This window comes from Homo sapiens, chromosome 6, assembly GCF_000001405.40.
Source record: "Homo sapiens chromosome 6, GRCh38.p14 Primary Assembly".
In the NCBI taxonomy this organism is placed as follows: domain Eukaryota; kingdom Metazoa; phylum Chordata; class Mammalia; order Primates; family Hominidae; genus Homo; species Homo sapiens.
In genome coordinates, this window is record NC_000006.12 from 147709859 (window position 1) to 147732809 (window position 22951).

The following is a 22951-nucleotide window of genomic DNA, read 5'->3' on the forward strand; positions in this document are numbered from 1 at the left end:
CTCGCTATCTTAACTGCTATACCTCCTCCACCATACTTCTAAAGCACAATTGTGTCTTGCCGCTTCTGCCTAAAACTGTGCAGTCACCCCTGATTACCCTCCATATAAAGTTTCAATCCCTCAGTGAGGTCTACAAAGTGCTTTACGATCAGGCCTCTGTCTACCTCCAAATTCATTTCCTGCAACTACCTTTTTGTGCCTGTTGTCAGTCAGTCAGAAATACCTGCAGTTGCAGGCTTTCTCATGCCTCCGGGCCTTTGCATGTGATGTTCCTGTTGTGAACAAGCTCTCTGACATCTAGATTTCTTGATCTAGCCACCTACTGCTCTCCATCAGCTCAATCTAGACTTTCCCTGCTATGAGACTGGGTTGAATGTTACTTCCATGTGCTCCTCCTACCCACCCCGTATGTATTACTGTATTGAAAGTACACTTACCCCGCCCTTATTCTTGGGCTCACTCTCTGAGGTTTTAGTTGCCTATGGTTAACTGTGGTCCAAAAATATTCAATGGAAAATTTTGGAAATAAATAGTTCATAAGTTTTCAATTGCATGCCATTTTGAGAAATGTGGTGAAATCTAACCCTGTCTGGCCCCATCTCACCCAAGATGTGAATCGTGCCTTTGTCCAGCATGGCCACACTGTAGACACTCCCTGCTTGTTAGTTACTTGGTGGCCCACTCCGTTACGGTTATCAGATTGACTGTGGCAGCATCACAGTGCTGGTGCCCAAAGAACCCTTATTTTGTTTAATAATGGCCCCAAAGTGCAGGAGTAATGATGCTGGCATATTGCTATAATTGTTAGTTGTTCTATTTTATCATTGTTAACCTCTTGCTGTGCCTAAATTATTAATTAAACTTTATCATAGGTATGTTTTATATAGGAAAAGACAGTATATATGGGGTTCAGTACTCTCCATGGTTTCAGACATCCACTGGGGGTCTTGGAATGTATCCCCCCTGGATAAGGGGGACTACTATACTTGTTACTTGTCTCCTGCACCGGATAGTAAGTACTTTGAAGGGAGAAACAGTGTCTTGTGCCTGTTATATATACACTACCTAGCTAGTGTCAAATTATAAAAGAATATGTGTGATGAAGGAAGGAAAGAAGGTGGGGAGGAGGGAGGGAGGGAAGGAAAATAAAGGAAGGAAGGAAATAAGGAAGGAGGGAAGGAAAATGAAAGAAGGAAGGAAAAGAAGGAAGGAAGGAAGGGAAGGAAGGGGGCAATGGAAAGTATCAGAAGTGGGAGGGTGTTGTAGAGAGAAGGAATTGGTATTAATGGAGAACTTATTATTTATCCTACCAGTCTCTTTCATTAAATCTTCATGACAGCTCTTTGAAGCAGGAATTATTATCTCTAATTACAGATGAGGAAAGTGGGCCTCGGAGAGTTCAGCCCATTGTCAGGGGTTTCACAGCTCGTAGGTTGTGGGACTGGGATTTGAATGCAGATCTGCCTGATCCCCCAACCTGACCCTGTGCTCCCTGTCCCATTTCTAGCCATATCATGGGACAGATAAAGATGTCATATAATCACCTGGTGTATTCACCACAGTCTTGATCAAGCCAGGCCGCTCTAATTCTCAGCTGCTTCTCATTAGCCAAGATTCCTGCACTTTAGGCTGAAATAGAAAGAAGCTCAAAACAAACCCACTGGCCTATTTTTGTTAATCACTATAAACGGTGGCTGTAGCAGAGCTGATTCATTTAATTGAGGATGTAGAAAATATTGCAGAGAGTAAAGAAAAGGCTAGGAATGCCAAATTAAATTTCTTGGAAAATAGTGGTTTGCATTCTTCAAAGGGGTCATTGCTGAATTTGTAATCAGATTGTAATGAATTTCAGCTGAAGTATTAAGTTTGTGGTATCCAGAAACCGGGAAATATGTTTGTGTTGTGAGTTCCTTACATCATGGAGTGTCATGTGCGTAAGTACACTTAATTAGATACTCTGATGACATTAGTAACAGTGTCAAATGTCATGAATGGCTAATTGCTTGCCAATCGAAAGCCCTATTTACATAAACACCAGGGGCCCACTCAGAGGTCTGCACCAACCATCTTTTAAGCTAAGATGTATCTTCAGTACCTTGGGACAAAGAAATGAGCATTTTCTTACAGAAATCCAAGAGACATTACAGGGGAGATAAAGAAATTTTTGAAGAAAATGTCTCTCGTCTGATCAGTTAGAGATTGGAAACTATAAGAATTTTTAAAAATAATAGTTATTAAAATGCATAATATTTTGTGGCCTTTATAGCTAGCTAAAGCACAATACTATCTTCTATATTTTATATTTTCTAAGTGTACTTTGATTCTGCATGTAAAGTTTCAGCCAAGCAACTCAATTATATTTTGAAAGCCATTCTGGAGTTTTAGCTTTACAAAGTTAACCTCCCACTTCTGTGCCACCACTCACACATACTAGCATCAAATGGATATAGAAAAACAACAATTTATTTTTTTCCAGGAATATTATTTGTGTTCTAGACTTTTAAAACAGACATGGATGTTAAAATTGTCATCCAGTTTTCCTCATTTTACAGATGAGAAATTAATCCCCAGAGACTTACAGTAATTCACTTAAAGTCACCTAGCTCCATGTTTTTTCCGCTCCACTCATGTTATGGGCTGAATGTTTGCTTCTCCCTCTTCCCTAAATTCATGTGTTGAAGGCCTAACCCTCAATGTTCTTGTATTTGGAGGTGGGGCCTTTGGGAGACAAATAAGTTGAGATAGCATCTTGAGGGTGGCACTCTTTTGATGGGATTAGTGCCCTTTTAAGAACAGAAAGGGAGGGACATCTCCCTCTGCAGAAGCATGTGCCATGGAAAGGCTATGGGAGCACACAATGAAAAGGCAAGGTGGCTGTCTACAAACCAAGAAGTGGGCCCTTACCAGACACCAAATCTGCTGGCTTAGACTTCCCAGCCTCTGGAACTATAAAAAAAAAAAAAAGTCTGTTGTTTAAGCCACCAAGTCTATGATATTTTGTTATAGCAGACTAAAATAATCCTACTCATACAAAAAGGATTGGAGCAGTTTATTGGTTCCTATTAGTGATTATGATCCATTTTTATAAACTATTATTCAAACCATCGGGAATGCAAAGCATTTTTTTCTCAAAGTCAAGCAGTAAATTGACAGCAAAAATGAAACAAAAGATCAGACCTCCTGAGTCATGGTCCAGAGCTTGTGATGTCAAGCATGTTGCTACTTAAAGGAAAGAATGTTTGTGTTTGATAATCTCATCACTTCTTAAAGCAATACCTGTTTGTTGACTGCGTTTTGCAAACTCTGCTATCCTTGGTCTTTTAGAGAACTCACAAGCTTTCCTGACATACAACTTTGACATTTAAAAATTGTTCTGCTATGTTTGAAGAAAACAAAGGATGCAAAGGTTCTCTAACAGTTGCATGAGTTCACTGAGACAACACTCAAACTACAGCTCTGGGACCCTGAATGTATATACCCTTGATTTATATACCCTGGGTTCCACTTGGTTTGCCGAGTCGAGTGCTGTAAAACATCTACATCTTGTTCTAAGAAGAATGAGGACATAACCTGGGTTGTTCTGGATACCTCCTCATTATCTTAGGATGTTGCATTCTTGGTAAATTCTGCCTGAGAATTGCAAGCAAGCGGCAGCAGAGCTGGGTCAGCCAACATCATCTGGAAAGGGAATGACCCTGTATCATGAAATCTCATGCATAAGCTGTAGGAGCAGGAAAAAGTTAAATGGTAGAAGAGATCATAGTGTCTATCCAAGAGTGTTTGGGGGAAACTAGGGCCCAAGGGTGATATAATATTTGGTGGCTTGTACACAGAGTATGGGGTAGAAGCTGAACAGAACTGTCACCCAAATTCAGTGCTATTTCTTTATCTTTCCAAGCAAAAGTAGTATGTATGACAAAGAAAAGGGTGAGACAAGGGTAAGCTGTAGTCAGTTTTCCCCTCTTCTCTCCTCCCTTACTCTTCCCTTGCCTCCCCTTTCATCTCCTTCCTCTTCTGTTCTTTCCTCTCCTCTTGTCCCTTCCTCATCCCTCCCTTCCTATAAATTATGAAGAAATATGTATTGAGATGTGTTTTTAGAACTTCTTCTCAAAACAGGTCTGTATTTTTACTTCTGTGCATTTGTGGAATTAACTGACTCCACTTAACAGTAAAATAAAACAGCCCTAAAAGAACATAAAGTTTATATTAAATGGTTATGAAAATAATGGGCACCTTCGCCCACTGAGATTGTGTTGAGTGAAGTTCAGTGACGATACTAAATAGGCCCCCTCCCACCTCACTAGGAGCCAATTGACAGATATGGAAGTCAGACAGAGGTAGGTATTTTGGTCTGCTTTTTTATTACTGAAGAGTAAACTGGAGGATGTGAACTGCCTGGCTGGCAACACTGGGCTTCCAAATAGACTTTCTGACTTAGTCATGAGCTGTATCTCTTAAGTCTATGGTCTGGCAGAAATTGGAAGAAAATCATGCACTCTGTGGGAAGGCATCCCAAAGAGAGTTCCAGAAGGGGCTGGAGAAGCACGTCCTGCTTCTTCTCCACAGTTGTCAGTCAGTTAAGTTTCTCCTCCTTCTATGGAGGAGTGAGTGATGAGCATGGTGTTGACTTATATATTGAGGTCCTTCTACCTGGAAGAGGGGAGGGGGACAATTGCTTTTCTGTTTCTAAACATATATTAGAGACTAAATGGTTAGGAAAAGATAATCCAATTTTCTTATGATTGAAAGATAAGTTAAAGGTGTTTTGGTTTTGTCTATGTGTAATTGTTATTCACTGTTTAATTAAGACAAAAATTATATACTTTGAATCAGTGATTCTCAAATTTAGTGTGCATTGGAATCATCTGGACAGCTTGTTATAATACAGATTCCTGGACTCTATTCTTGGACACTGAGTAGGAATGCCAAAAAAACGAATGACTTAGGTGGTCTTGGGGCCATACTTTGAGTAACGCAATCTGTGAATGTTTTCCTCCTTATCCATCCATTTCTGAATTATTTTTGTATTGTGGGTCATTACTTAGCCATTTCAAATTTAGTTATTAATCCTGATGATTGTTTACCAAATTACTATTATTAATACATATATTTGCTTACATGTTCATAGGGAAAATATGGGCATATATACATGAAACTGTAAATGATGGTTATCTTCTTGGCATGAGGTTACAGGAAAGGGTAGAGTTTTACACTCTTTCCTGCAGTGGTGTCACGGGATCTTTAGGGTGTTTCTTTTCTAGCTGGAAAGTTCTGTGGCTAGTGGTGCCTTTGCCCAAGTTTTTACTCAGGCCTGCTGGGCTTGTTCCACCCTCTTGGCTTGGCAGGCTTCTCTCAGCTCGTGCTATTGGCCCAAATCTCATGCCCGCCAAGAGTGAGCCAGGCGCAGAGCAGTGAGGAGTTTGAGAGTGAGCATGGGCTCCAAACACTGTGCACAGCCAGGCACACTGGTGGATGCAGCAGGGCAGGCAACTCCAGGCACCAGCATGGGTGCCGGCTCCCTCTGAGGCTGAGGTTGGACCAGGTGTACTGCAAGCAGCTTCCACAGCTGGCACTGGGGAATGTGGTGGTGCCTGGAAGCTTGGAGATGCCAGGAACCACAGAGCCCCAGAGAGGTTGTCACAGGAGCTGCCTTGTTCAGGGAGCTCCTAGGTCTGGGTTCCCCAAAGGGCTGCAGCTCTTCTCCCCTCTCCTTCTTGTCACCCACATTGAGGCGAGCAAGGGGCATGTTTCAGCCCTACTTGTGTTACAGCTCTTTTAGCCCTGCCATTTGGCAGGTCCCAAGTTCTCGTCCTGCGTCCAGGAAGAATGAAGTATGTGGATAAGTGGAGAGTGAGTAAGATGATGAGGAGCTTTACTGAGCAACAGAACAGCTCAGAGGAGACCCACAGTGGATAGGTCCTTTCTGCAGGTGGGGTGTCCTGATGAATGTCCAGCTTTCAGCAGAGGAGAACCTGGAGTGGGTAGCTCCTCTCCACAGCTGGTCATCCATCTCTCCTCCTCTCCTGGAGTCTGGCTGAGTTCAGGGCTTTTATTGGCTTCAGAGGGGAAGAAGTACGTGCTGATTGGTCCATGGGTGGCCATGAGTAGGCCTGGAAAAAGCACCATAAGTTCCCACTCTGGTCCATGGGACTGGCATCCCTCCCCTTAGGCTTTCAGGCTTTCCAGGGCTTGAAGCAGAGCTTCATCAAGGACCTGCCCCCTTCCACTCCCAGGAGCCTGTCTGCCTCCTGCCGCCATTCATGGCACCTATGCTGTTCCTGTCAAAGGGTGCCTGCAGGCCAGCATGGGTTGCCCTTAGCACCACCTCGGCCTCCTTCCTGTGCTCGTCACCCCCCAAAGTCCAGAGGGGGCTGAAGTGGCAAGGGACTGGTGCATCAGTGCTGCTCTGGGTGTGCACACATCTGGCTGGGCTGCAACAGTGCCTGGCTCAGCCCCAACCTTGCTCCGAGATCAGAGTGGGTGCTAGGAGCAGGGAGAGGCCAGGCAGTGGGAGCAGACACTTCTGAGCCTGCAAGGGTAGGGGTTCCTTCCCAGGCCCCTGAGAGTGCAGAGATGCCTGGGTCCACAGCTGTGGCTTGGCAACTGCAGCTGTGCCTGGGAAGGCGGGACTCCTGCCTGTTCCTGGCCCCCAAGAGCACAGGGATGCCCAGGTCTGCAGACACGGCTGGGCAGCCACAGCTGCACCCAGGGAATGTGAAGCTCCTGCCCTGCCAACTCATAAGGAGGTGGGGCTTCCACCTGTTTCCGGCTCCTGTCGGCTCTGTGGAGCACCCAGCCCCAGCTACACCTCCCACAGTGCAGCCAGCATCATGGCAGCAGCCACTCTAGATGGGTCACTGCTGCCATTGCTGGCACATTTTTGCAGCTTTTATTGCATTAAACTAAAGATACTTCTATTTTGAAAATAGGCAGAAGAGAGGAAAGGAGGAAGAAAGAGAAAGTCAAGTTCTGAGTTTTCAAGGAAAAAGGGGAAATTATCTCTTCCCATTAAACTTTACTTGAATCTTGACACCACCTGTGACTACGATGTCTCTTCGTACAGCTGAACTGATTGACTTATGACACGTTCTTACTCAGCTCCACCTCACTCCTTCCAGCCTATTCTCCATACATCTCTCCATAATTTAAAATGTAAACCATATCACATTACTCCTTTGTCTAAAACCTCCAGTGACTTCCACTGCACTTAGCTAAAATCCAAATTTTTCATCTGAAGGTTTTGCATGATCCACCTTGCTAAATGTCTCTGTCTCACTCACCTCTATGTCCTCATAGCCTATACAGTACCTAGGCTAAAGTAGATGCTCAACAACTGTTGGTGAATTAAAGAATGAATGAGTGAATGAATATCCCTTTCAGAGCTTGAAATGTATGTGTTGTTTAATTTCTTTCCAAAATGGACAACTGGTCTTTTCTACTGGTGTTCATGAGACTCCAGGGGGCATATTCATTTCCCAGATTGTATCCTCTCCTAGTTGGACAGTTCTGATTTTTCATGGATCCGTAAAATCCAGCTAAGCTCTTCTCTGACACTAAGGTGAAGTGGCTATTAGGCAGTGCAGTGAGGAATGGACGGACTCTGCCCAAGTCTCAGGTTATCTGCCTTTCTAACTGGCTCAATGGTTTTCCAGATATTTTTGCTCAGGAATCACTCTGTCAGAACAAGGGAAGGACCCCGCGTGTCCATTCTCCTTCACCTTCCATCTGTGCTGGTTTGTACATGAAAAATAAAATTATCTACAATGAATTTTAAAACTGTCTTCCGCAAGACCAGCTTGGCCAACATGGCGAAACCCTGTTTCTACTAAAAAATACAAAAACTACAGGTGGTGGGCACCTGTAGTCCCAGCTACTTGGGAGGCTGAGGCAGGAAGAATTACTTGAACCTGGGAGGTGGAGGTTGCAGTGATGCAGTGAGCCGAGATTGCACCACTGCACTCCAGCCTGGGTGACAGAGCAAAACTCTGTCTCAAAAACACAAAACAAAACAAAACAAAACAAAACAAAAAAACTGCCTTCTGATATGCCACCAACAAGATATTCACATTGTTTCCTTTTTGTAGAATGTTGGAAGATATGAAATTAAAACTGGGATTTTCTAAGTAGTATCTGGAGTAAAAGCAATAAATGTTCTTGCTTCAAGATTTCCATTTGTGGTATCATTCACAAGAGAAATTTCCCCTTTTTGAAAAGTATTGGCTTTGATCCTATAACAAAATTACTTTCAAGAAGTAGACTGCGTACTATATGAGGTGAATTAATTTTTACAGTGATGGAAATCAGCTCTTACAGGGCACCAGGGTATCGTTTAGTACATTGGAAGAGGTAATTTTCTGAAGAGTGGTGTATTTATTGTCTACTAAGCTGAGCATTGAGGAGCAGATGCAGTGACTGGTGCACATCCCCCACCGAGTGTGCATGGAAAAACCGCCTAAATCACACATTGCACCTGGAGAATGCGGATGTCTCCAAAGGCTCCTTTACAGTAGAAGGAATTCTTACCATGGTTTTCTAGTTTGCTGAACTAGAGGGAAGAAAGTTAGGAGGAAGAACGGGAAAGCTGCCGAAGTGTGTCCTTAGCAGAATGAGTGGTTATTTATCTTTACCACCTCATGAATTTTTATTTCAAGGTTTAAAATTTTCCACAATTTACTGAAGTAGAAAAAGAATAGAGCTCTATTGGGTTAAGCAAAGTAAATCCAAAGACATATAGAAACTTCAAGGAATTGATGGTTTAACCAGGTTTTGGTGTGGCATTGGTGCTGGACAGTGTGGCCTTTATGTAATGTTGTTGGAAGTGGCTCTTTCTCGTTTTTTTTCTTTTTTTTGGAGGCAAAGTCTTGCTCTGTTGCCAAGGCTAAAGTACAGTGGCACAATCTTGGCTCACTGCAGCCTCCCCCTCCCAGGTTCAAGTGATTCTCACGCCTCAGCCTCCCAAGTAGCTGAGACTACAGGCATGTGCCACCACCCCTGGCTAATTTTTGTATTTTTAGTAGAGATGGGGTTTCACCATGTTGGTCAGGCTGGTCTCGAACTCCTGACCTCTGGTGATCCGCCTGCCTCAGCCTCCCAAAGTGCTGGGATTACAGGCGTGAGCCACCGCGCCCGGCCGAAGTGTCTCTTTTAACAATGTAAATTCTCTTGTGGAAACAACCAGCCAGATACCAATGACTTTTGCTGCTCAGCAGATGCTATGGTGGATCCCACGCTGCTGAGTGTCAGCTTCATGTATCAGTTGGAGTGAGCAGTCAGTGCTGTGATGTCAAAGGGATGCTCCCAGAGCTATTCTAGAGAGTCAGAAAGCTGACTTCTCTGGAAAAAGTCACATCAGGACCCAGAGCAAGGAAACAGGTACCAGAATATCTGAGCTCCAAGGTAGCTTAAGCAGATTTTATGAGTACTTCTTTTTTTTCTTGCTACTGTTTTAACTGGGTTTAGGGCTTTTCCCTGGAGTGCCTATCTTAAAGATGGGGGTGCTGAGCCTAGAAAATTGAGAAAGGGATATCTGATTCATTCTGTTGAGGGCCTATGGCTCTTAGGCTCAAGAGAAACCAAAGGCGCAGCAGACATTCTAGCCTCATCATCTCCTTTGATGAGTAGTTCCTGGTAGCTCTGTTTGCTGAGCCCATTTCTTAACCCTTGTGACCTCTTGAGGAAGTATATCATGACTATCACTGAACTGCCTCCTATTGGCTACTGCTATCCCTCCAGATTTCTACACTTTACATATTAACTTACCTCAGCAAGTATCAGAATTTCATACAATATCCACTATGGTACGTCTCATTAGAGGTACAAATATACTCAGTAAATCGTGGGAGAGCATAAGCAGAAAAACTGGGAGGATCTGGGAAATTATCTTGGGACAAAGGTGAAGACAGATTTTTTGCTAAAAAACCTAAAAAATATTGTTTTAGCTTGAAACTATTCTAATGCTAATTTGCATTCTAATCCTTCATATAACTATGTTTAATTACCAAAAAAATAATGTTTTCTACAGAAAGTTTGAGAGAAATGAATAATCCGGGAAGATGCTCCATGCTTATCCCTAATGCCTGAACTCTTGACACTCTTGCACACCCTCTGGGGCACACCTGCCTATCTGAGAAACATGGATGTGCTTATAGTCTTCATTGCTCTGGCTGTGTTTTATCCCATGTAGTCTTTCACAGGTCTAGATAAAGGAATGCAGAATTGCAATGACTGTATAAACACCAGGCACGTACAGTGTCTGCAGTGTCTCGTCCCTCCCTATCTAGGTAAGAGGGGGAAAGAGGATCAGTGACACCAATGGAGATTTAAACCTTCCATGGTCTCCACGCCTGTAATCCCAGCACTTTGGGAGGCCAGGGCGGGCGGATCACGAGGTCAGGAGATCGAGACCATCCTGGCTAACATGGTGAAACCCCGTCTCTACTGAAAAAATACAAAAAATTAGCCAGGCGCGATGGCGGGCTCCTGTAGTCCCAGCTACTCGGGAGGCTGAGGCAGGAGAATGGCGGGAACCCAGGAGGCGGAGCTTGCAGTGAGCCGAGATAGCGCCACTGCACTCCAGCCTGGGCGACAGAGCGAGACTCTGTCTCAAAAAAAAAAAAACCTTCCACGGTCTCCCCCAGCTCCAGTAGAACCCACATATTCTATTCTACCTTGTGTAGAAACGATACCAAAGGAGAACTTTCTCACAGAAAAAATGAGGAGAGGAGTAAAGATTGATTATATAGTGTTTTTGCAGCTTCCTGAACTTCTCAGTGGCAGCCTATAAATATAATCTACACTGACTGTATATAAGACTTTAAATTTCTTTTTTTTAAAGTCTATATTTTATTTTATTATTATACTTTCAGTTTTAGGGTACATGTGCACAATGTGCAGGTTAGTTCCATATGTATACATGTGCCATGCTGGTGCGCTGCACCCACTAACTCGTCATCTAGCATTAGGTATATCTCCCAATGCTATCCCTCCCCCCTCCCCCCACCCCACAACAGTCCCCAGAGTGTGATGTTCCCCTTCCTGTGTCCATGTGATCTCATTGTTCAATTCCCACCTATGAGTGAGAATATGCGGCGTTTGGTTTTTTGTTCTTGTGATAGTTTACTGAGAATGATGATTTCCAATTTCATCCATGTCCCTACAAAGGACATGAACTCATCATTTTTTATGGCTGCATAGTATTCCATGGTGTATATGTGCCACATTTTCTTAATCCAGTCTATCATTGTTGGACATTTGGGTTGGTTCCAAGTCTTTGCTATTGTGAATAATGCGGCAATAAACATACGTGTGCATGTGTCTTTATAGCAGCATGATTTATAGTCCTTTGGGTATATACCCAGTAATGGGATGGCTGGGTCAAATGGTATTTCTAGTTCTAGATCCCTGAGGAATCGCCACACTGACTTCCACAATGGTTGAACTAGTTTACAGTCCCACCAACAGTGTAAAAGCATTCCTATTTCTCCACATCCTCTCCAGCACCTGTTGTTTCCTGACTTTTTAATGATTGCCATTCTAACTGGTGTGAGATGGTATCTCATTGTGGTTTTAATTTGCATTTCTCTGATGGCCAGTGATGGTGAGCATTTTTTCATGTGTTTTTTGACTGCATAAATGTGTTCTTTTGAGAAGTGTCTGTTCATATCCTTTGCCCACTTTTTGATGGGGTTGTTTGTTTTTTTCTTGTAAATTTGTTTGAGTTCATTGTAGATTCTGGATATTAGCCCTTTGTCAGATAAGTAGGTTGCGAAAATTTTCTCCCATTTTGTAGGTTGCCTGTTTACTCTGATGGTAGTTTCTTTTGCTGTGCAGAAGCTCTTTAGTTTAATTAGATCCCATTTGTCAAGTTTGGCTTTTGTTGCCATTGCTAAGACTTTAAATTTCATAATGAAAATCAATTTAAGCCAATTGTGTTGAAAGTTTTATACAATTGCACCATTTCCTCAATATAGTTTATATCCAAAGCTTTCATAGTTTAATGTTGTTTTGGGTTATTTCCATAAAGTTATAATTTTTATATCCCATTAAAAAACATATATGAATGTTTATGATGTTCCAATACAGAAACTAATTATGATTAATGAGAAGTGTTACAAGTCATATAGTTCTCTTCATTCAACTTTTTAATAAAAGAAAGAAAAAAATATGCTTGGTATTATTTCCTGTGAATAGAGAAATGCAGAAAATTTATGCCAATATGCCTATTTTTACAACATTGTGTCTTGGGATACCCAGTAAGCTTCAATTATTACAGGTATTTTCATTTAAGAGTGTCTTTTTAATTAAATGACAGCAATCACAGTATCAAGAAAACCCAACCTTGCCAATACCAGCTTATGAATGAGCTCAATGATATGCAAGAGGTAAGTGGGGTCACTTCATTCCAGTATATAGTCGATTTGTGTTTTTTTTTTCCCAAAGAATAATTAGCATTGTATATAGATGCGCATTCACAGACACCATGAAAAAAGCACCAAACAATTGAGAGAACTGTTTTTTCCCCTAAGGCTGTATTGGCCTAAGCATGTATTTGCCAATATTTTATGCCCTCGTCATCCATCCACACTTTGCACAAGCAATTTCCTCTACTGAAATGCTTTTTCCATTTGTCCTCATAGAAAACTCTCATTTAACGTCTCTTATTTGCTTTCCCTGGCCCCTCTCCCTAGGCAGAAATGATTGTTCATTTCCCTATATATTTAATATTTCTAATACACTTTGAAATATTCCTAATACAGCTCTTTATTATAGTCCATTTTAGTTATTGGCTAATAGGCCTCTCCCCTAAGCAGGAACTTAATGAAGACAAAGGCTTGTTTAGTCATATTTTTTCTTGCTTTTTTTATGTGCCTTGTTATTTTTGATTGAATGTCAGACACTGTGTATAAAATAACAGAAGAGACTGCACTCAATAGTATTAACACCTAGAAATGAACACACTTCTTGTTCTGTGAGGCCATTATTGTAGGTGGTTGACTCAGTCTAGTCTGTAGTTATGTTGGGCCTGGGTTTTGTTGTTATTATAATTAATCTTTGTGTTTCTTGGACTTCGAATTCTTCCAGCAGTGGGCTACTCTTACCTTGTGCTCAGTGTGGGTCTGGGAAGCTGAAGGCTATTTCCTAGTGTTTCTACTCCATCCTTATATTTCAGCAGCCCTTGCACACTGCAGCCATTCTTACCCTTCTTCCAGCAATAGATTGCCTTCACTTGTTACTAAGTACTCAGCCCATGTTAGGGCCAGTGGTGTGAGGAGTTCCTCAGTTCTCATGATCCATCCTCAGTCTCAGGATGGTCCTGTGAGCCTGGACCTTGAGGGTAAGGCTTTCTCACCATTTCTGTTCCTTTTTCCCCTTCTCTTTACCATGGTAGCCAAAACTCAGGTAGGAGTTTTGTGGTCTTGGAGTAGCAGATGTCTTTTTGGTATCAGTGCAGGATTTTAGGTCCATGAGCATTTCCTACACCCCTCCACACATGACAGGAATTTTGCTTTTATTCTTCCCCCAAAATCATTGGATCTTTGGCTCTGCCATGGAACAGGAGGATTGCCTACCCTTCCCCTAGCAGCTTAAGGCTTTTTCTTCACATACAAGAAGCATCTGGGGAAGAGGAGGAGCTGCTGCATTGACTCAAGTGGCAGCCAGTTACCTCCTGCATGGTTGTGCTATTGCCCCCAGACTTCTCCCTGGCCCTCAATCTTGTTCATAATCATGCAGTAGAGAGTTGCAGGTGTGTGTGAATCCTCCTCATGTCTGGGGCTCCTGATTTTTTTTAATTGTGATGCTAACACACACTCAGTCTTTAAGAATTCATAAAACATAAGCCACTTTCTTATTACCAAGTTTCCCCATATCCTGCCAACAGCAGAACAGTTTATGTAGCCCATCTTTCCTTGGAGGGAACTGCTGTCTTTGGAATTCAACTCACTTGGTTGCCTTGGGACTTTGGCTCTCTGATGGACTCCAGAAAATGTATAATTTTGTAGGTTATCTGCCTCTTTTTATGGTTAAGGTGAGAGTAATATTCTTTTGTGGCTTTCTACATATCAAGTGGAAGTGGAACTCCTTAAGTATAATCACTAACTGCCCCAGGGCCCAGCAGAAGGCTGGGATATAGGAGATACTTCTTCAATTGTATTGAGCCACATTTATCCTCATGCAAAAAATCCACAATCACATTGCAGGGAAATAATTCAACATTTTTCTTTAACATTTCTCATCAGTTCTTCTAATGAGAGTAAAATTGTACATGAAAAAAATATATATATTTTTTGAAACAGAGTCTCACTCTGTCACCCAGGCTGGAGTGCAGTGGCACAATCTCAGCTCACTGCAACCTCCTCCTCAACGGTTCAAGCGATTCTCCCCCTTCAGCCTCCTGAGTAGCTGGGACTACAGGCGCCTGCCACCACACCTGGCTAGAAAAATACTTTTTATTCTCTTGGCTTAACTTTATTTTTTTTCAGAGCTCAGAAATTAAATGGCAGCAAATTTTAAGCTTTATCCAATTATTTTTAATCCTTCAGTCATCCTAAGAAATTAACCTGTCACAAATAAACATATTGGGTCATTTTTAAGGCAAATCTGAGCTGATTCTTTTTACTTGTTGCCTGAAACAAAAATTCAGATAAAATAACTATGACAGCTTATGACAGAAGTACTATTGAACTATCTTTCTTGCCAATATTAAAAAGAAGAAAATTCTTTTAAAATGTGCAACTGAAAAAGTCACCTTATCCTGGCCCCCTGTGGAGATCCTGCTGGAGTAGTGAGCCGTGAGGCTGCTCACGGGGCTTTGCATATTGTCCTGCTGGTGTTTCTGGCTCATGATGGAGATGGGGGAAGGGAACAGCCTATTTGCAGTGTTGAAAAAAAATCAATTTTCATCTTCAAAAGATGAAACTACCAAGCAAGATATTGAATTAGAAATAAAGTGTTTCTTAAAGACTTCTCATATCCTATAAATGTCATACCCAAACCTAAGAGTTTGGTGATTTAAAGTTTACTGCTAATTTCAGACAAACATGCAGGTAGCTCTGCCTCAAAAAAACAAAAAAAAACTAGCTAATGTATGAGTTTATTGCAGATTTTGTTGCATCTACAACTAGTGTCAGAACCTTCAAAACCAGTCATATTTTTTGTTGATAGGCATAAACTTGATCCCTATTTATTTTCCATCCCGAGGTTTTATTCTTCTTTGTCTCATACGTAAATGATTTCCAAGTTTTTATGACAAATTTCATATAACTAGGTTTGATATACTTTCAAATGCAGCTTTTGCAATATATAATATCCGTATCATCTGAACTTTAATAAGGAGTACGTTTTTAATCAGTTGGGGGAGATCTTTAGTTCTTGTCTGGCCTTGAAGGCCCAATGCAGACTAGCTGATTGATGGTTGTTATCCCAACACACAAAGTAGACATGGACCAAGCAGGCAGCGGAGGAGGAGTGAATTCATCCACAAATCTTGTGGGGGGTGGACTAGCCTCAGCAGGGCCTGGACTGACCTGGCTTTTTTTTTTTTTTTTTTTGAGACCGAGTCTAGCTCTGTCACCCAGGTTATAGTACAGTGGCTCAATCTCAGCTCGCTGCAACCTCTGCTTCCTGGGTTCAAGCAATTCTTCTGCCTCAGCCTCCCAAGTAGCTGGGATTACAGGTGCCCACCACCATGCCCAGCTAATTTTTGTATTTTTAGTAGAAACAGGATTTCACCGTGTTGGCCAGGCTGGTCTCGAACTCCTGACCTCAGGTGATCCACCCGCCTTGGCCTCCCAAAGTTCTGGGATTACAGGCATGAGCCACTGTACCCAGCCTTACCTGTCTTTAAAAGGAGAACTTTATAGAATATTGAAGTGGCTGTTGTCTCATTGCCTGCTTCCTGGGAATATTATGTTGAAGTGAGTTTATCCTGACTTGAGGCATACATCTGGTTACTATTTTAGGAAGAGAAAAAAGAGTGGCAGGACAAAAGGAGAAATGATGGGAGAGACTGAGATTACTATTTTTTAAAAAGGAGATTCAGCATTACCTGAAGGGGCTATTAACACTGTTGGATCAGACTAAGCTTTAAACTGGATAGGAATATAAAATGTTTTCCACCATTAACCCATTGAGCAGAGCTTGTGAGGCAAACAGATTAGCTGTAGATAAAATAACGAAATTACTTCTTTTCCTCTGAATATTAGTATGGCATTATGAGTTAAATTTACAACCCTACAACACATATTTGAGAAACTACTATTGCTAGAAACTGCAAGAAATAAAAGAGAATTTGGTTTCTGCTTCAATGAGGCTGTTCACAAATGGAAAATTATCTGAAATTATCTTCTGTCCCCTAACTACCACCCACCCCCGTTCCTCCTTACTTCTGCATCCATTTTTTCTTGCCTTGGTAAATATCACTTACATGGAGAATATAGGGAATATTTTTGAATAACCACAGTAATAATAAATGCTTTCTTTGCACCAGACATTGTACATGCAATTTACGTATATTATTTTATTCCTTATGATAATCCTGCAAAAAAGCAGTTTTCAGACTTGTAAAGATTTTATAGTTGCTTATACGGAGACCCAGGAAGATCAAGTCATGCTCCATTTCAGATGAGGTTTCAGAGGCAGTCTGTATGCCAGGCCTGCCTGGGGCCCAGGCCCAGGCCCAGGTCCAGGCCCAGGCCCCGGCCCTCACATTTTGCAAAGCTGTTGTTTGACTTTAGTCATCTCCTACTTTTATAGGGTGTGGGGGTTAAGAGCAAGGACTTTGTGGCTCAATACTCTGGATTTGAATGTTAACTCTACTGTGGCTAGAGCTTATCTTTGGTGCATGACCTAACCTCTCCTTCCCAAGAACCTTCACCTATAAAATGGGATAATAGCAGTACATGTGACATAAAGTCATCATAAGGATTCCAAGAAAGAGGTGGGCGGAGGGCTTACGGCAGCACCTGGCTTGTTATAATCGCTGTATAACAGCTCCATGCTATTATTTCATATTTATAATTAATTTTCAGATCTGCCTTACTTCTTCTGTCATTTCCTTTCACTTAGACTTTGCTAGTAGCCTCTCAGTTGGCCTCCATAATTCCAGCCTCACCTCTCTGCAGACTTTCCTTGACATAACTAAAAACTAGCATTTCTAAAATTCAGAATGGATCATGTCATGCCCTTGCTGAAAGCCTTTTAACTTTCAGGCCCAAATACAAAGTCCTTAATGGAGTATCCTGTGTCCCCCATAACCTGTCCCCTGCCTACCAATTAAGTTTTATTTCTCTCCACTTGCCCTTACACATACTGTGTTCCAACCACAGGGAATCATTTCCATTTCCTGAACAGATCATGCAGTTGCACAAACTGTTCCCTCTGTCCAGAATGCCTTTGCTGGCCCAATTTGCTTGACAAACTCCTATGCATTCCTCAAAGCCAGGAGCAGCAACGTTTCCTCCTCCAAGGAGTCTTTCTTATATCCCTATATGCTCTAAGAAGGGTGCCCTTTCTAGTTGCCTGTATAATGTTTTGAATGTACCTGGGTCATAGCCCTTACCACATGGCATTGAAGCTAATTGTCTGGTAGTGTTTTCCCACTAAATTTGTAGGTTCCTAGGAGCAATTGTATTGCCTTATTCTTCGTTTTTTTCAGGGTTCAGCACAAGGGAGGCACTCAGTAAGTTATTAGCCAATGAATGTGGAGAGTAAACATGGTTTCCTGGTGTATCTTTAGAACCTCAGTAGAGAAAGTCATTTCTTCCTAGATGATTTTCAACAACAGGCCACTAGAGACTTAGGCATCTGGCTTTTTTTTTTTTTCCCCAGATTGGTCTGCTGAAGACCCACCAGAGTCCCAAGGTGAAAACAACAATTATCCTCTGTTGGTTACTTCAGCTAATGGCGGGAGTCATGTATGTTGGGTGCCTAAAAGCATCAGACAGCAATAAACTTAAAATGATACTACCTTTTTGTCCCAGAGTAGTCAATGATTAAATAACAAACTAATTGACCACATTCAACATATAATAGGGAATCAATGCATTATTTTGAAAACTGGTTAAATAGAAGTACAGAATCTAGCATTTCTCTTACCTTTTCTGTACAGACTGCACCAGGGGTAATCACCTAGTAGAGGAGGGTGATTGCCTCTTTATGAAAGTATTCCAATCAGTAAATGAAAATTAAATGATAAAATTTTAGTATCACTGTTTTGTAATTCTGATGAGTTAGTAGGTCTAGTACTGAGTATCCAGAGTGCTAACATCACAAAAACAGAGATAACCAGGCTGGGCCCAGCGGCTCACACCTGTAATCCCAGCACTTTGGGAGAACGAGGTGGGCAAATTGCTTGAGGTCAGGAGTTTGAGACCAGCCTGGCCAATATGGTGAAATCCTGTCTCTACAAAAAATCAGCCAGACACGGTCTTGTATGCGTGTAATCCCAGCTCTTCGGGAGGCTGAGGCACGAGAATTGCTTGAGCCTAGTAGGTGGAGGTTTCGGTGAGCTGAGATCACACCACTGCACTCCAGCCTGGGTGACAGAACAAGACTCCCTCTCAAAGAAGAAACAAACAAACAAACAAACCAGTTATCATTTGTCTCCTGAGGAATGAAGCACAGCAAAAACCTACATTCTGGCCAAAGGGATTAGACCTGAGTCTGATCAAGCCTCTGGATCCCATTGCCAATTTGCAGAAAATTCAGAGGAACATAGAACCGCGGGCTGAGTGTGCAACCTGGGAAACACTCTACAGGACAAATGACCCAGGTTCTTCAATAGACAAACGAAAGAAAAGAAAGCAATAGAGGGAGTTGTAGATAAAAGGAGACTTAACACATCAAATTTTAAAAAATAGGCCAGTCTAAACTGAAGTGTCCAGGAGTTTTTCTATATAAAACTCTAAAACACAAGGAAGTGATTTCTGTAAAAGGATTGTAGCAAAAGTTCTGTTTTTCTGCATGATGGTTACAAAGTATTAGCTTTATAATAAACTCTTTATGCAGTTCTGTGTGGCTTCTGTATCTATTTAATTTTGAAATAAATATGATAAAAGTGTTCTTTAAAAAAATGATTGTGCAAGGCTGTATTCTTCTGCTGGGTTGCAATAACAATATGCTACAAACTGGGTGGACTAAAACACAGAAGTTTATTTGTTCGCAGTTCTGGAGGTGGGAAGTCAGAGATCATGGTGCCAGCAGGGTTGGTTTCTCCTGAGGCCTTTGTCCTTGGCTTGCTGACGGCAGCCCTCTTGCTGTGTCCTCACATGGCCTTTGCTCTGTATGCAAACATTCCTTGTGTCTTTTCCTCTTCTTATAAGGACACCAGTCATATTGGATTAGGGCCCCACCCATAGGACCTCACTTAGCGTTAATTACCTCCTTAAAGGTCCCATTTCCAAATAAAGTCACATTTGGGGCTAGGACTCAACATATGAATTTCGAGGTGACACAATTCAGCCCGTAACAAAAGCCAGTGTTTCCCTTAACTATTTTCACTACTGTCTAAGACAAGATTGACCTTGCAAAATATTAAAAAGTGCCCCAATGGAGGAATTTATTTATTTCCAACACATTCATTGGCTGCCCACTGTATGCCAGGAATTGTTACAGGTGCTGGAGATTCAATGATGAACAAAACAGGCAAAATTTCTCTCTTTATGAATCTCGAAATCTGGACAAGAAACAAAGAACAACAAAATATGATGTATTTTAGGTGGTAATAGGTGCTAAGGAATGAAAAGTAGGAAAAGAAGAAAGCAGTGACAAGAAAGGGCTATGATTTTAGATGGAGCCGCCAAGGGAGGACTCAAAGAGAAGGCGAATGTGAGTAAAGATCTAAAGGAAGTGAAATTATGAACCATGTGGAAAGCTGGGAGAACATTTTAGGCAGTGGCAAAGGTTCTGAGAGGTGATGTGCCTGATGTGTTCAAGAAACAGCAAGGAGGCTGGGCGTGGCGACTCATGCCTGTAATCCCAGCACTTTGGGAGGCTGAGGCAGGTGGATCACCTGAGGTCAGGAGTTCAAGACCCACCTGGCCAACATGGTGAAACCCTGTCTCTACTAAAAATACAGAAATTAGCCAGGTGTGATGGCGTGTGCCTGTAATCCCAGCTACTCGGGAGGCTGAGGCAGAAGAATTGCTTGAACCCGGGAGGTGGATGTTGCAGTGAGCCAAGATCATGCCATTGTACTCCAGCCTGGGTGACTCTGTCTCAAAAAAAAAAAAAAAAAAGAAAAGAAAAAAAGAAAAGGAAATGGGTAGGGCTACAGCAGAGTGAAAGAGAGGGAGAGAAAGATGATGATTTCGGGAAAGAGCCTTGGGGGCATGCCTTTGGCTTTCACTCTTGTTGAAATTGGAAGACATCAGAAGATTTTGAGCAAAGATATGAAATTCCCTGACTTACATTAATGGGATCACTTTGACTGATGTGTTGAGGGACTAAACACAGACTAAAGAGGGACAAGGATAAAAGTGGGGAGAACAGTATGGGGGTGCCTACAATAACCTCAACAACAAACAGAAGAGGCTTGGTCCAGTAAGATAAGCTGTAAGTACTTGGATTCTGGATATTTTTGAAGGTTGAGCCAAATAAGAGAAATCAAGATACCCCAAGGTTTTTGTCCTAAAACTGCAAGGACAAAGGATGCCATTTCCAGAGGAGCAGGTTTGGGGAAGATTATCAGGAGTTCAGTTTGGGGTAGCTTGCATTTGGGATGTCTAACTTTGGACTTCAGAAGAACAATCTAGGAGATGTGGGCATGTTGATGATATTTAAAGCCATGAGATGAGATTACCTAGGATAAGCATATATAGACAATAGACAAGGTCCGAGAACTGAGCCCTAAGACATTCCAATGTTAGATGGGAGAGAACCAAAAAGAGGGGACAGAGAAAGGAGAAAGCAGAGACAACCAGGAGTTTTAAGGAAGGGGAGTGACTACAGTGTTCTGTGTTTTGGCACATAAATGAGAACTCTGAGTTGACCATTGGTGCTGGCAGTGTGTGGACCACTGGTGACTGATAAGAGCAGTTTTAATGGAGGTGGTGTTGGAAGCCTGGTCAGAGTAGACTCAAGAGAATATGAGAGGAGCAAAAATTGTCTGTTTAGAGGAATAGTAACCATGACAATAATAGGTAAATATTGAGCCTGTACTAAGTAGCAGGCGTGGCTCTTCTAAGCACTTAAGTAACTCAGTCTTCACCACCACCTTATGAGGGAGATGTTATTATTATTCCCATTTTATAGATGAAGAAACTGAGACACAAGAAAGGACAAGTGATTTGTTCTCCATCACACAGCTGACAAGCAATGGAACCAGGTCCGAGCCCAGACATTTCACACCAGTGCCCAAGCTCCACCATCTCCCCATTTGAAGTCTAGGTTTAAAGTGATGTTTTTATGATGACAGTGTCACAGGTGAGTGATGCTGCATAACAGCATAGCCCATATCCAGGGCTGAAACATAGGTCAGTCAGAAGAACATAGAATGCAGAGAAAGTCTTGGAAGGTTAATATATATAGAAATGCTTCTGTATTCTTTATAACCTGTTAACTCAGAGAGGAATGCTCATGGGCTGCTGTGATGGAGAAAACTGACTTAATTTTCTTTTAGTAGCTATGGAAAACAATGCACAGCCATGAACTTTGAAAATCTATTTCCTTTATTGTATATTCTCTGTACTCTGTACCCTCTGTCTCCCTAAACTCTCCATTATTTAGTTTCCCAGTGAATAATCTACGTTTAAAATTACTGTTAACACTTTACCCTCTCTTTTCTCTCTGGCCACTACAAAAAAAAAAAAAAAAAAATCCTGAATGCAACCCTCCCTCCCTCCCTCCCTCCTTTCCTTCCTTCCTTCTTTCCTTCCTTCCTTCCATTCTTTTAGTCATCACTTTTTAGCTCCAATAGTAAAGCAACCAACAGAATTTAGAGTGGCTTGTCATTCATTCACTTTCTGTATTTGTGGAGCAAAGGTCTGTCAAAGGTGAGGAATTGTGTCAGCAGCATGTTAAGGGGCAAGACCTGTGCACTTATAAGTAAATGTGGCTGCCAAGGAAACAGATTGACTACACTATTTCTAAAATTGTAGAAATTCTGAGGTTTGGAAGTAGAAAACAAGGCTTTTGATGACTGGAAAACTCACACAACTAAATGATTTGTGGACTAATGGGAGTTTTCAATGAAAATGCAAAATCATAAAATATTACTATTAAATGGAGGACTGATGAAAAGCAATTATTGGAATGCAGTGTACTTTAAAAGAGGATTGGATTTCAGAAAAAGGACCATCAGCCAGCCAGCATCCCTCATTTTGCTTTGTAATTACAATTTCTAGGCCTTCTGAACAATTGCGTGACCCTTGAGAAAAGAATTAGTGATTGCAATCATAGCCTCCTAATCAAGCGTCTTGAAAGGAGCAATACTTGAAAATCTTCCTCATATACAGGGCATGCCAACTAGTTTTGCAATTTCTCTCGTATATTACTGCTATGATTTAGTGTTTTAGGTTTGCTAATAATTCTCTAATTTAATTAAATCAAATATGGAAGTTGAAATAGGGAAGCCAGTAATATCATCTGCAGAAAATAGGAGTTATTGGTTTAATTGCTGTTGCTTTATATAAAGCTTGAATTCTTACGTAAGTCTATGGGAAACACAAGAATTATGTCAAGGTGAGAGCTTGGCCTGCTCATACAGCTAGAAATGATGAGGCAGGAACATTGCATGTAACCCACTATGAAAAATGAATATGATGTTATTTGGCTGAGTTTCAGATTTATTTTTGATGGCATGGGTCTTGTTTTCCCTGGTGTAATACTATTTGTTCAAGGGTATTTGTTTTTGGAATCTTGTTAGAGGATAGCTGGCTCTGACATAAACACCCCAGCATCTTTCTCTTCTCCTGTGCTTGTAATCAGCCATTATCCAACAGAATCAGAAGAGTAA

At 41.7% G+C, this 22951-nt stretch overlaps 1 protein-coding gene across 1 annotated transcript in view, besides 1 other annotated feature; it reads left to right on the forward strand.

Moving 5' to 3' along the window:
- Window positions 1–22951, forward strand: part of SAMD5 (sterile alpha motif domain containing 5) — a 445991-nt gene that overhangs the window by 201169 nt on the left and 221871 nt on the right. The window lies entirely within an intron of this gene.
- Window positions 6050–6550: an enhancer, noted in NCBI's record as "H3K4me1 hESC enhancer chr6:148037044-148037544 (GRCh37/hg19 assembly coordinates)". NCBI's record gives its function as "activates a minimal SCP1, AML or CMV promoter by ChIP-STARR-seq in naive H9 embryonic stem cells {active_cell/tissue: H9 hESC(naive)}" and the evidence as "EXISTENCE:reporter gene assay evidence [ECO:0000049][PMID:30033119]".